At 40.6% G+C, this 14,981-nt stretch overlaps 1 protein-coding gene across 50 annotated transcripts in view; it reads right to left on the minus strand.

Annotated features, from left to right (window-relative positions):
- MCTP1 (multiple C2 and transmembrane domain containing 1) overlaps window positions 1-14,981 on the minus strand; it is a 581,405-nt gene that overhangs the window by 33,122 nt on the left and 533,302 nt on the right. The window lies entirely within an intron of this gene.

Below are 14,981 nucleotides of genomic sequence, written 5' to 3' on the forward strand. Positions count from 1 at the left end.
TATTTGATTTACTGAGATAACATGGAGAGGTCACTGCATTATTTTTTAACTTGCAGAAAAAGTTCATTAACTCATTGAGAGTCTACTCTGTACTTGGTACCATGCCAGGCATAGGATAGAGAGCTAATCCCAACAGACATGGAGACCCTGACTTCATGATGCTTATAGTCAAGTGAAATTTTTCTTTTCTTTGGAGACAGGATCTTGCTCTTTTAACTCAGGCTGCAGTGCCGTGGCAATGATCATGACTCACCACAGCCCTGACCTCCTGGGCTGAAGCGAACCTCCTGCCTTAGCCTCTGGAGTACCTGGGACCAAGGCATGTACCACCACATCCAGCTAATTTTTAAATTTTTTTGTAGAGAAAGAATCTCACTATGTTTTCCAGGCTGAGGTAGAATATTTTTATCTCAGAGGAGGAGGGAGGGAGGGAGGGAAACAGTGCAAGTAATATGCTTTTGCTGGGCCTCCTGGTGATAGCAGAAACACTGCCAGATAATGGTAGTATCTAACATATTGGGGCACACATCTAAGTAGAAGAGATAGGCTCTAACCCAGAGCAGTAAGCTTAGATATTAGAATAAAGCATAATTTCAAATTCTAAGCACCCAAATAGTTTGATGTCATTTATTACCAAAAATTCTTGTCACTGTTTGAATACTAAATAGGGATGTTTCTTGAGTGAGTACTGAATAGAAAAAATTAAAATAGGGAGTCCTGTAGTTTTGTTTCAATAACTCCAATTTATACAGGTTCTTAAATATTTGCAATAACCATTACTGAGGAATAGTTCCATTTCCTCTATCAATAACCAGTTACATAAGTTATCAACTCTTTACTAAAAGAAAATCTAATTTGATTCAATTAGAATTACTTTTGTTTGAGACAGAATCTCACTCTGTAGCTCAAGCTGGAGTCCCGTGGTGCGATCTTGGCTCACTGCAACCTTTGCCTCTGGGGCTCAAGTGATTCTCCTGCTTCAAGCCTCCCAAATAGCTGGGAGTAGAGGTGTGCGCCACCACACTTGGTTAATTTTTTTGTATTTTTAGTAGAGACGGGGTTTCACCATGTTGCCCTTGGTGGTCTCAAACTCCTGAGCTCAGGCGATCCACCTGCCTCGGCCTCCCAGAGTGCTGGGATTGCAGGCGTGAGCCACCGCACCCGGCCAGAATTTGAATTCTTAAAACTAGCTAAATGCCATTCATCAGAAGCGAAACAGCTAATCTCAAGCCACGAATAATGCGTGCTCACCACCTAGTGGCACTTGTGGCAAACTGCAGGTACATTATACTTAAAACAGTATGTTCTGCTAATTTAATTCATGGGTAACATTCAGAAGCTTTATGGATAACCCTCATCTTCTAGTTAATTTATGAAGTTTTAGCCCCCAGAAATTTGGCAGAATAATATCTTTTGAAATTCCTTTTCAATCCCCACTGCACTATCTAGATCGGACCACCCTTGCCTTATCGTTGTGGTCCTGATTGGATTCTCCACTGTCTCTTAAGAATTGCCATTTATATCATTCCTCTGCTTGAGAAAAATGAAACAAATTTGTTTGCAATACATTCAGTAGAAGCACCTTGTCCCAGTGCAAAGTGCCCAATTCTGAACTTCCTTAACAAGCTGAATTCTAGCAAGAGGGTCAGATGTGGCCTGTGAACACACATCACACTCACCAGCCTGTCCCCCCATACTGAACATTCTACCTGAAGCAGCACCCTCTCCACCTCACCTCTACCTTGGGAATTCTTATTGTTTAAGACTTAACTCAAAGCCCATTGCCTACAAGAAGCCCTACTTGACTACTACAGTTGATTCATCTCTCCCTGTTGTGAATTCTGAGAATGATGATTGTCTGCAGCCTGAGATGTACTCCTGATCTGTTTCTCCTGCCCTCTCATTATTGTCCATTATGTCTGTGGGCTAGCAGATGGCTTCTGTAATGTGAAAAACACCTTGAGGACGGCGATTGTTGTGTGTTTTAAAATATCCCCTTCTCCACTGTACCGAGCTCAGTAAAGAACACAAAGCTTCCTAAATACTTCGGTTGTGTCCACCAATACAGCATTTCATTATTCTGATCTTTTAGGCTGCAGATGTCTCCCAGGTGTGGCTTCTGATCACCTTGTCATCTTTTGCTAGTTAAAACACATGTGATCTTTTCAACAGCAGCAGTAGCTTCATGTCAATGTATCTGCATATTTGGTGAGGAAGAAAACTGGCATAATGTTTCCCAGTAATTTCGGCCAAGAGAGCAGTTCTTTGATTACCTTGGTATTTATGGTGAAAATTGTGTTTAAAATTTGGCAAGGATTTGTCTAATTTATTCATTTCACTTTGTATTTGCAGGTTGGTTGTGATTTATGAATACCATTCAAGAGGTCACTATCGATCTTCAAAATACATCAATTCTAAGTAGACAACCTTCCACCTTTGAAGAACAAAACTTTTACTGTTTCACAAACACATTAGACAAGAATGTGGTTCGATCAACAGGGCATAGGATTCATGAAATCAACATTTATTCATATGGTATCACCTGGGGCAGCAGGAATGCTTCTGGTTCTGATTAAAACCACCGCAACAACTTGTGGATCTAAGGACTTTGTTCTTAAATTAATTTAAATATATCATGGAATTACAAAATGTATTGAACTTCCCTACACAAGGCTTCAATGGCATGGCATTCGAATAAGAAGATGAGTTGATCTTAATAAAATGGATAATCCAAGGAGTGCCCAAACCCAGCCTTTTGGCATCTCAAATCGCAATTTTAACCCTGTAATTATAAGTGTACAATGAGATCTTAATGTTCCTTGATTTGGAATAAGGTTTAAGGTAGTTTTGTTTGTTTGTTTTTTGTTGTTTGAGACGGAGTCTTACTCTGTCGCCCAGCCTGGAGTGCAATGGCATGATCTCAGCCCACTGCAACCTCCACCTCCCAGGTTCAAGCAATTTTCCTGCCTCACCACTCTCCCGAGTAGCTGGGATTACTGATGTGTGCCACCACGCCCAGCTAATTTTTGTGTTTTTAGTAGAGATGGGGTTTTGCCATGTTGGCCAGGCTGATCTCGAACTCCTGACCTCAGGTGATCCACCCACCTCAGTCTCCCAAAGTGCTGGGATTACAGGCGTGAGCCACTGTGCCCGGCCTGTTTAAGGTAGTTTTAAATAAAATTTTGTTAAGGCTCAAATCTCTTCATCACATGAAGTGCTACAGTAATTACTTGCCAGACACAATATTTTCTTGAATCATACACGTATTGGAAATATATGTATATGTACATTTCAAAAATAAAATTCATGTTGACTTATCATTCTTAAAATAACTTTCTCTACACATATCCATTTATCTTTAGACAAAGTCATTGAAAATATGATTTGCCAAGATTTTGAATTTGTGTCTCTACAGGCTGCATACTCTTACAATAAAAAAGCAGGAAAACCTCCTTACATGCCTTCAGTTATCTTTGTTGAATTTGATTTTTTTAGATATAAATAACCAAACTCTCTCAATGCAAGCCTGACACTGATAATGAGTATGTTTCAGATGGCAACAGGAAAACATACTACTGCTGTAATTAAATGCAAATTTTTTTTAGTGCATGCAGTATTAAAGTCGAGTTTAAGCCACTGAATGGGGGAAATCTAGAAGTTAAGTGGCTCAAAATGAATAATTTAAACCTGCTGAGTCAGGTTTTCCTAGTGAACAAGCTGCTACTTGGAGTAAATTTGGTGTGGTTGTAAGTGGCAGAAATTCAGGCTGTTGGATTTCATAATTTTAATATGAATAGAGACATTATTCCCAATACCTTAGCAATTTGTATGCAAAGTACGTAGAGCTTCATTGTGAGAGAAGCTCTGCTTCTGTTTATTTGGTCAGTCGGTCCATATTTCCGAGTGCCAACTGTGTGCAGAGTATAGCAGGCCAGGCTTTCGAAGAGATACTGGACTTTTATGCTCTTGAGGAGTTGAACAGACCCAGATGAAAATATTTCCAAATACTTGAGAATCCTGACTCTATTAACTTTGGGAAGACCTTCAACAAAGGAATGATTAATTGGGAAGGTGAGATTAATCAAAGAAGACTTCCTGGAGAAGGTGAGAACACAGGTTGCGGAAACACACAAATTATTGCATGAAGATGAGAAATCAAAGCACTGGATTAAAGCCAAGAATCCACAGCAAGGAGAATGAAGTTAGAGGAAGCTGGTGGGGAAGCTGTCAAGAGTCTTCATGACCAAGGGCACCTGCTCGGCCATCTTGGTAGCATCTCCTTCCTCCCTGGAGTGTGAAATGTTCACTATTCATCTGCAAACTGTGTGTAATGTGAGAGGACCTTTAGAAGTAAATTAGAGTCTTATTTATAACTCTGTTGTCAAAACTTATAATTTCACAGATATGTCATCGAAAATATTTGGCTTCTGGAAACACTCTCACATAGTGACCCTTGTAAATTAAAATTTCAAGTTAAAAAAAGGAAATGATGATTGCTCACAATAAGAAGTATAAAAATGGAACACTCGTTTATTCATTTCAAGCTGCACTTTCCTTCTTAGACTAAACAATGAGAGAAAACATGAAGAGACCCTCTGGTTTCTACCATTCAAACATTTATATCTGCTTTTGGTAAATAAAATGACTTGACTTCTCTTTTTGTGCCAATTATTATGGTGTTGAATTCAAGATAGAGTCCAATACAAAATCAATCTTGGATGACAAAAGAGGAAACAGGCAAGCTCCAGGACTCAGACCTGGCAGCTACTTTGGGAGGCTCTGCTAATGCTGCTAAGAGCATGATTTTAAAATTAACTTGTGGTCAGCTTCCTCTCAGATGCTTTAGTAATAATTAAATAATAGCAGCCCATGCCACCAAGGTAAGAACCTCGTCTAGCAAAAGTCACTAGTACCTTTTGGATGAGGAATTTCTGCCAAACAGCCTATAAGAGCAGAATTCTGGGATAGCAGAGGGGCAAATGCTTGCATGCGTTGAATTAGAATTCTACTCTGTGATTTACTGCTTGTGACTTTGCATGAATTCCTTAACCTCCCTAAACCTCAGTTTCCTCAGATGTGAGATTGGGGTTAACAGTGCTACCTATTTCTTAGGGTTGTTAGATGCCTCAAATGTAATGATCCAGTTAAAATGCTTAACCCAGTGCTTGGCTCATATCAGTGTTCCATAAATGTTAGTCCCTACTTTATTTCTAGAGTGTTTGAACGACACTGTATAAGCCATGAAGTGTAAGGCAAAATCTTTAGTGTCATTAAGGTAATAACATTATTAGGGTAAAACGGCTGGAAAGTGGAAGACTATAGGAAGAAATGATGCTCGAACCCATCTACTATAGCCCAATAGCAGAAAGTGAAAAAGAATGTATGTTTTTAAATTTTTTTAAATTTTCTATTATTATTTTTCTTATAGAGATGCGGTTTTGCCATGTTGCCCAGGCTGGTCTCAAACTCTCGGGTATAAGTGATCCTCCTGCCTCAGCCTCCCAAAGTACTGGGATTACAGGGGTGCACTGCCATGCCTGGCCAAGAATGTATATCTTTTTATCAGTTTTAAGTGTGTCCACTGATTTTTCCATCTTGGGCTTAGTGATACTAAGTAAATGAAGTACCATAGCTATCATTGTTTTGGTTAACAAAGTCAGAGCTGAGGCAGGAACTGTGGCTGCCTAACAGCCTTAGGTCAAACCCACAAGTGCTCCCTGGGTCTTAGAGCTTGCCTTGGAAAGAGAATCATGAGCTAATGATCCCAATTACTGCCTGTGAAAACCAACACCAAAGAAGAATGCATAGAAACTTCTAAAGCCTTTTTCTTTTTTTTTTTAATTTGACAGAATATCTCTTTGCTGTTTAAGGATTAACATTACATTTTTAACTGAAAAGAAATACAAAGAAAAGTACTATATTAAACTATCAAAACCACTGATTAACTTGAGGAAGTAAAGTCTATGTTCCTTCATGTCAGACTAAAGAAATTTCAATATATATCTTCTATCTATTGTGTACCTACTTCAGGCAATAATTCACTCATTGAAACTGTATTGAAAACCTATTATCTGCTAGGCTGGGGGAGATAACGAAAATGAATAATGCACAGTCCCTGCCTGTAAGGGAACAGGTTGGTAAACAAATCCTTAGGATACTATCTGATAAATTCTACAATAGAGGCATAAGAAAGGTGGGGAGATGACTAACCTAGAAGCACGGAAGACTTCATAGGGAAAATAAAATGTGATTTCCTAATCTACCAAAACAGAGCAATCAAGTACGAACATCTAATAAGAATCTAATGAAAACACTGATGTAACCCAATGTAAAAAAAAAAAAAAAAAAATCTGGGGGATTATTCACTGGCTTCTCACTCCTATTTTTCTATAAATGGGACGAAGCAAGAATTGGCTATACTAAAATTAACCTAAAAGCTGTATTTGGAGCAGTATTAAATGTTGAACTTATTAGCAAATCTGCAGGCTTATATTTCAATTCAATAAAAAAAAAAAAAGAGAGTCTATGATATGCCAAGCACTGACTCCATGCTAGAGAGAGGAAAAACACAGCAGAGAAGACAGAAATAAAAAAGGAAGCTTGCAGCCTCACGAAGGTGAGATAAGAGAGAAAGTGAAAAATGCTTTATGACAGGTGCCAACAAGGAGCTATCCGACACAAACGGAAACGCCTGCACAGGCCAGGCTGGGTGAGAGCATGGGGCCCATGGAGAGGGCATCCCAGTCATCATGGCCATGTTGGAATCCAGGCCCAATGTTGCCAGAACTTTCCGTCTTTCAAGAGAAGCTCAAAATCCACATTTTTTTTTTTTTTTTTTTTTTTTGAGATGGAGTCTCCCTCTGTCGCCCAGGCTCGAGTGCAGTGGCGCGATCTCGGCTCACTGCAAGCTCCGCCTTCCGGGTTCACGCCATTCTCCTGCCTCAGCCTCCCGAGTAGCTGGGACTACAGGCACCTGCCACCACACCCGGCTAATTTTTTGTATATTTTTAGTAGAGACGGGGTTTCACCATGTTAGCCAGGATGGTCTCGATCTTCTGACCTTGTGATCTGTCCACCTCGGTCTCCCAAAGTGCTAGGATTACAGGTGTGAGCCACTGTGCCCGGCCAAAATCCACATTTTTCCATGAGAGCTCTTGATTTTTCTTGTTCTTTTTCTGAGTCAGGATGTGGCTCCATCACCCAAGGTGGAGTGCAGTGGCACCATCACAGCTCACTGCAACCTCTGCTTCCCGGGCTCAAGTGATCCTCCCACCTCAGCTTCCGGAGTAGCTGGAACTACAGATGCACGCCACCACACCCAGCTAATGTTATTGTTTGTTTGTTTGTTTGTTTTGCCATGTTGCCCAGGCTGGTCTCTAACTCCTGGGCTGATCCGAAGTGATCCACCCACCTTGGCCTCCCAAAGTGCTCGGATTATAGGCGTGAGCCGTTGAGCTCAGCTTCTCCTGATTTTTGAAGACTGTTTTAAAATCCTGTCCACAGCTGAATTCAGCCCCTTAGCTGCCAGTTAGCAGCCTCTGTACTTCTAAAATGCACAGGGAGCAAGGAGCAAGAAGCATGGATAACGGACTAATTAGATGGACAGGGGATTTAGCACTGGATTCAAATCCTGCCCTGCTGGCGTTATGCAAACTTGGTCAAGTTCTGAAAATGGATCTCAGTTTTGGTTTCACTAACATTTTTTTTTTTGAGACAGAGTCTTGCTCTGTCACCCAGGCTGGAGTGCAGTGGTGCCATCTCAGCTCACTGCAACCTCTGTCTCCCAGGTTCAAGGGATTCTCACGCCTCAGCCTTCTGAGTAGCTGGGATTACAGGCGTGTGCCACCACACTGGGCTAATTTTTGTATTTTGTATTTTTAGTAGAGATGGGGCTTCTCCATGTTGGTCAGGCTGATCTCGAACTCCCAACCTCAGGTGATCCGCCCGTCTCGGCCTCCAACGTGCTGGGATTACAGGTGTGAGCCACCGCGCCCAGCCACCAATAGGTAGTTCTTGACTGGATTACATCCCGAGATTTGATACCAAGACTAAAACTGTGTTCAGCTCATTTCCCAAAATACAGTAAGGGGCTTTAACATTGGATTCAAATCCTGCCCTGCCTGTGCTGTGCAAACTTGGACAAGTCCAAGGGCACAGCCTTAACACAGCATTTCTTGTCAGATAACCATTGCTTTTAAGATGGTTGAAACAACAAGAGAAGGAAGACTCCAGAGTAGTCCTATGACATGCTCCCACCCACAGAGAGTAAGAATGTTTCCCAGCCACTTCTCATGACCATAGTTTTCTTACTGGATACGCCTGAGTGCAGCAAGGTCTAAGGGGAAGTTTAGGGCTTCAGGTTTGAGGACTTGCTTAATAATGCCTTTCTGTCTATAACCAGTATGCCCACAAGTGAACAAACCTTTTCCCAAAATGGGTCAATTATAATGTTCTGGGTGGAGATTCCATAGCTGCTCCACAGCTCGGAGAGTGTGCTCTTTGGTGCAAGATGTGAGGAGGGATAAAGGAGCTGCACTGGCTTTCCTGTTCTCTTACAGAGTGTCCACTTGTTTCCATTTCTTCTGGGAGAATGGGGAGGAGGCATGTGTAATACATATATTTGACTTCTTTTAGCCTCATTTTCACTTTGTCTCTTTTTGTCTCTTATTCCCATTTTGCAGATGAGCTGGTAGGGGTAGAGGGCAGTTAGGCGATATGAAAGAAAGGTGGAGAGGAAAGAGTCATTTTACTGTTCTCCATTTGAGTATCTTCAAAATCATCAGGTATTCTTGCAGAGAAAAATTAAGGGAGGCATCATTATATTTATTTCTAGTGCCTAACACTGAGCCTGACACATAGGTGCTTAATAGAAACTTGAAGAAAAATGTGTTGAAGAAATAAGTACTCATTGAAGAAAAACATATTTACAGAAGAGAAGCAGCACAAAGTGCTCGGCTGCAAGCAACAGAATATTCTAGTAGTAGATTAGGTAGTAGAGTTAATTTTCCTCATGCAATAGGAAGTTCAGAAGTCAGGTTATTGATATTGTACCAGATGTTCAAAGTGATCATTTGGGCCCTAAGAACTTTCTGTCTTTCCATTTCTTCATCCTTATGTTTATTGCCTCATGGTGTTAATATGGCTGCCCCAGCTGTAAGCATTGCATTCACATTCAAAGGTAGATGAGAGGGGGAAGGATGGAGTCAGCAATATCTGTCCTATGTTATCAAGAAAGTAAAAAACTTTCCCAGAAACCCCCGGAACACATCCTTTTCCAGCTCTTTGGCCAGAACTATATTAAAGAGTCATTCATAGATACAATGAAACCTTAGAAAACTGAGGATTTAGGCAGAATCTTTGTCATTATGTACAAAGTCCGTCTTCCATTAGCAAGGGAAAATGGGGAAATAAACACTGGGTAGACAATATCCGCCACACTTGACTGGAGCCCTTTCTGCCTCCTACTCCTTTCTGAATACTCAAATGACTCACAGCCCTCTATTAATTCTTTTATGTCATTTATTTCCCCTCCCAGATTGAAGGCGTTACTCATGTTTGACTCATTTTCTCCTATCTTTTACACGGTAAACCCCTAATAAGTGCTAATATTATGAATGTTTTGAGATATATGTAAAATGATGCTCTTTAAGTAGTTACAGAAAGAATAAAAACCATGACTTCATTTGTATATTTGTGCATTAGCTACTACTCCATTTTAAATACAGTAGGTAAAGTAGGCTTAAGTGAAATTTTACAAAGGGGAATAAGAACAAATATAAACAACAAATATAAGACATTTTTATAATGTAATAGTGCAGACAAAACTGAAATTCATCTCTTTAAAATGAACTTAATTTCCTGTTTCTTTGTCTTCTCATGCATTCCATGTCATAAAGATAGGTAAATTATTCTAGAAATACTAATATTTTTCAGGTTCAGAAAACTTCAGTGGATCTCAATGCACATAAGAAACTGTCTACATTCCTTGCTCCAGTGCTCAAAACTCCACAACCTGGTCCCAACCAACCATTCTTACCCTGTCACTCACAACTCTTGCGTCAGTATATTTTGCTGTGGCTAAATTCTTCTACAAACTGCCCTCTCAAGGCCTCTTGGGAATTCCACTTCCCCTTGACCTTGAATACCTTTAAGTTCCTCTTTTGGCTTGTTTGAATCTGACTTAGCCTTCAAAGTCTAGCTCAAGTATCAGGTTGATAATTAGATAATGTAGGTTTCCAGCTTTTTTTTTAGGCTGGAGATACAGTTTGCCTTTATCCATATCTTCTGCCTGTACTGGATTTTGTTATTTCAGTTGTCCAGGAGTTCTGTGTGTGAACTGCCATCTTTTCTGTTCCATGTAATATCGTAGCATAGCACGACAGCAGCAAGTATTTTTTCTGTAATGGAAAACTGATTGCTACAATTCTGACAATGGTCATGCTCACCATTTTAACAGTTATATAATTATATGTTACCTATCATTTCCTATGTAGAAACTGTATTAAGAACCATCATTTAATCCTCATAATCTTATGAGGCAAGTATTATTTTTGTTCCCATTTTGCAGATGAGGAGACAGAGGAGCTATCTCTTGGATAGCTTCCAATTCAGAAGTAATTTTTTTTTCTGTAAAGGGCTAAATAGTAAATATTTTAGGTGTTCCAGGCCACATAATCTGTGTTGCCGCTATTCACCCCTTCATTGAAAGCATGAAAGCAGCCGTAGATAGTAAGAAAACAAATGGGTGTAGTTGTATGCCAATAAAACTTTATTTACAGTTGGCTGAATTTGGCCTGTGGACTGTAGTTTACTGACTTCTGTTCTAGCCCAAATAATCCTTTTCATATATAAAGCTAAGAGAGGTAAAGTCCAGATTGCAACAGAGGCGGATCTAGAATCGAGGTCTTCTGATTGGTGGGTTAGTGGTCTTTAACTATTATACTAACTGGATGGGGGTAATTATTCTGTAATAAATTGAGCTTCTGAAATTATAAGGAGGCCAGGCATGGTGGCTCACGCCTGTAAACCCAGCACCTTGGGAGGCCAAGACAGGTGGATCATCTGAGGTCAGGAGTTTGAGACCAGTCTGGCCAATGTGGTGAAATCCCGTCTCTACTAAAAGTATAAAAATTGCTCGGCGTAGTGGCGCGCGCCTGTAATCCCAGGTACTTGGGAGGCTGAGGCAAAATAATTGCTTGAACCCAGGAGTCAGAGGTTGCAGCGAGCTGAGATTGTGCCATTGCACTCCAGACTGGGTGACAAGAGTGCAACTCTGTCTCAAGAAAGAAACCATAAGGAAGTTTTGATACTATTGACAAATTATACTGTTTGACCCAGATGATTAGGTTTCTGTAATTTGATGTGGGTTTTATTCCATCTTCTGTGTCTTCCAAAGGTATGTGGACTTTTAAACTCAGTTTCTTCATCTTTTATAGGAAAGCATTTTCCAGACTAGATAAACACATGCCAGTTGCATGTACAGTTAGGACTCAGAGCTTGCTAAAGAGCACAGGGTGACGACTGTGGAACTACTGAAACATTGTCGAGACAGCAGTCCGTTAAGGCTTCTCAGAGTAGTTCTGAGTACATGGCTCCCTGCCAACTTTCTAACCTGGCCCCCTAGTTTACCAGGAAACATTTTGACATGGTTAAATAGGTACATACATCCTTTGTGGCTACAGGACAAAACCCATGATTGCCTGATCTCTTTAGTCCCATGCTCTGAAAAATTTAGATTCAAATCTTTGACTGGAAATAAAATTTCTGTGGGGCAAGTTTTTATTCTCTGATCTTTGTTCTTTCTATTAATAGACTTGGAATGTAATGGAAAATATAGTTAACATTGCCTTGCACATTTACTTTTTGAGCATAGTTATCAGCACTCTAAGTTTCTCGATTGTCTCAGGACACTGATGATACTAATAGATTCCAAAAAGACTTTCTTGAGCCAGAAGCACTGTAGCACTACATTTCCAGCTCTCTGTTGAGTCTTCAAACTAAGTAGAAAAAGAGAAGCAAATTGAACCTCATATATTTTACTATCCAAGAGGATATTACCTTGACTGGACACGGTGGACTGACTACACAGACTGGCCACCGTCTGCAATAGCGCTCAATGCAATTAGAAGCCTGGGAGATGAGCTGACACTAGAAGGTCAAGAAATACAGTTTTGTTTTGTTTTTTGATGCTTCTGCTGTAATTGTGGCCCCAGAGCATTCTTGTCCTTGACTTATGTGATGATCTGAAGTTATGTTTTGATTCTGAGCATCTATGTCTTATTAGGTTATATGCATCATATTTAAATAACTAGACAAACCTTGAAAGTTCAGAATCCTCACCAGCCTGTAAAATTTTTGCTAGGCCAATCTATCATCAAGAAGACTACAGAAAAAAGTATTTCCTTTGCACAGACAGATGTACCCTTTGCTGTGGATGACTCAGCAAAAAACACCTGCAATAGTGTCTTATTAGGTGGTATCCCCTGGCACTTAAGATATATGCAACCCTGTGCCCTGGAACCTACTTTTGAAGAATGAAAGAAATATTTAAAACATCTTATCGGCCAGCTGTGGTGGCTCACGTCTGTAATCCCAGCACTTTGGGGGGCCAAGGTAGACAGATCACCTGAGGTCAGTAGTTCAAAACCAGCCTGGCCAACATGGCGAAACCCTGTCTCTACTAAAAATACAAAAATTAGCCGGGCATGCTGGCATGTGCCTGTAATCCCAGCTGCTCAGGAGGCTGAGGCAGGAGAATCACTTGAACCTGGGAAGTGGAGGTTGCAGTAAGCTGACATCGTGCCACTGCACTCCAGCCTGGGTGACAGAGCAAGACTTCATCTCAAAAAAAAAAAAAAAAAAAAAAAAAAAAAAAATATCAAGGCAGTGGAAAATGAGCTACTTTTCCCAAATTTCAGAATCTATAGTTATTGGTATTAAGTGAATAATGAAATTCAGTGATTCTCCTGCTAGAGAACATCTCTAAAGCCTTGGGCCAAGAGCTATAAATACATTTTATCAATGCTGTAAGGTAAGCACTGTTACTATATCCACTCCACACATGGAAGCAATGAGGCTACAGAGAGGTTAAGCAGTTTACCCAAGATCATTTAGGTACCAAATGAAGCTGGGATCTAAACTAAAAGAAGTCTGACTCCAGAGCCCGAAAAACTATTACTTCAGTCTGTACAATCACTTGGTAAAATCTACGTCCTTTAGTAGAAAACTTGCTGAATGAGAAAGAGAGAGAAGAACTTGCTGAATGAGAAAAAGACAGAAAATAGCATATTCCAGTCCCTTGTTCCCTTTCCCTAGATCAGTGCTGACATATTACAGAGTACATCCCACCTTATGCTATTGTTTATGCCTAGGCAGTCGCAGAGGGAGCTACCCGCCACAAGAACCCGTGATCATATCTCATCATTGCTGTTCCCCTAGTTACCAAAGTCTGCACTTTGCTTTTGTCATGTTATTGACGTACAGGGGGAAGCATTATTTTCTCAATGGTTCAAATTACATATCTGGGGGGCAAATGAAACTTGGTTTTTATTCTCATTCTCTCCTTTCATTATTTTAGAATCATAAACCTACTAGACAATTGTATAATCATTAAGGTCATATACAAATATTCTGGCCATCTCTTTTTGGGCTTGTAGTAGGACTGCACTTCCTTATCTGCTAAAAGTGACTTGCTCTGACCAATGAAAGGCAAACAGAAATGGTCTATGTCTCTTCTAGGAGGAAGCTTTAAGAGCCAGTGCTTCTCTTTCCAACATGGTGACTGGCAGTATTTCAAACAGCAAAACATTTGAGCTTAGGGCTTAACGTGAGGGTGACAACAAAGATGTGGCATGAAGTCCCCTCTGCCCATCCTGGATCGACAGATAGTATAAGCAAGAAAAAAGCATTGTGGTCTTAAGCCCCCAAGACTTGCAGTTATTACTGCAGCAAAACCTAGTCATCTTGACTGGTCTATTCTTACAGAAAATACTGATGCCTAATTCAAAGCAGCAACACAGAGAATATGGCAAAAGGGGATTAAGCATCTGGTGATTGTGAAGGCCATCGATGCTGCCAGCTAGCAGGAAATATCCAAGTCTTTCCAAAAGGACTGGGAGTAGCATACAAAAAGGAAATGTCCCCGTCATCCAGAACCGAAACCTGGGCAGGATTCCTTTGGAAAGAGAATTGTGGACTTTCTAATCCCTGCAACTGACCCAACAGTCCCCATATCTCTCCTATATGCCCTTAAACAAGAACAAGCACACCTTGAATGCAAGGTGGAGGTTTTAACTAAATACTGGCCGGGCTGAAGTAATCACTCAGAAGCATAATATAACTTTCCTGACAGAGTGATAAGTCAGTAGAGCGACCAAGGGCCTTTCTCTCCTTTTCTCCTTTAGTAATAGAAAAAATGATGCTATGAGTTAGGGGTTTAAACAGAAAGAAACTGAAATCCATGACAGTGATGACTTAATAATATTGCAAATTATAGTTTTTAGTTCAGGTAATTTAGCATACCAAATCACAGTTTAATTTCCTTCTACAGAGCCCAGGCATATGAGATAGTGTATGAGAGAAGGGGCAAGGTGGGGTGGAGACAGGGGGTGAGGATGAGCATGAAGAAAAAAAATTCTAAGACTTCTCAAAGGCAGGTGACCTTGAAAGCCTAATAAAAGTGACCTGGAGAATGTAAATGGCAGTTTATTAATATGTGCGAGGGCTATAGCCCTGACCTCCGGGAAGCTGAGTCCTTGCTTCCTTTTGTTCAAGTGCTTGCTTCTCCTGCCTGGTGGAATGTGAGGATCAAGTGCCCAGAAGGAATGCATAAAGCGTACAGAGCCCTGACAGCTGTGAAAGAATGACTTTGAGAGTGTCAGCAAAGCAGAGCCGTTGTTGAATGGCATGTGTCCTTGATTGCGCACAATGCTGCATGAAGGAACAGAGAAGGGGGAGCTGAATCACTTAATGACTTGTCTTTT

Source organism: Homo sapiens, chromosome 5, assembly GCF_000001405.40.
Source record: "Homo sapiens chromosome 5, GRCh38.p14 Primary Assembly".
NCBI lineage: Eukaryota > Metazoa > Chordata > Mammalia > Primates > Hominidae > Homo > Homo sapiens.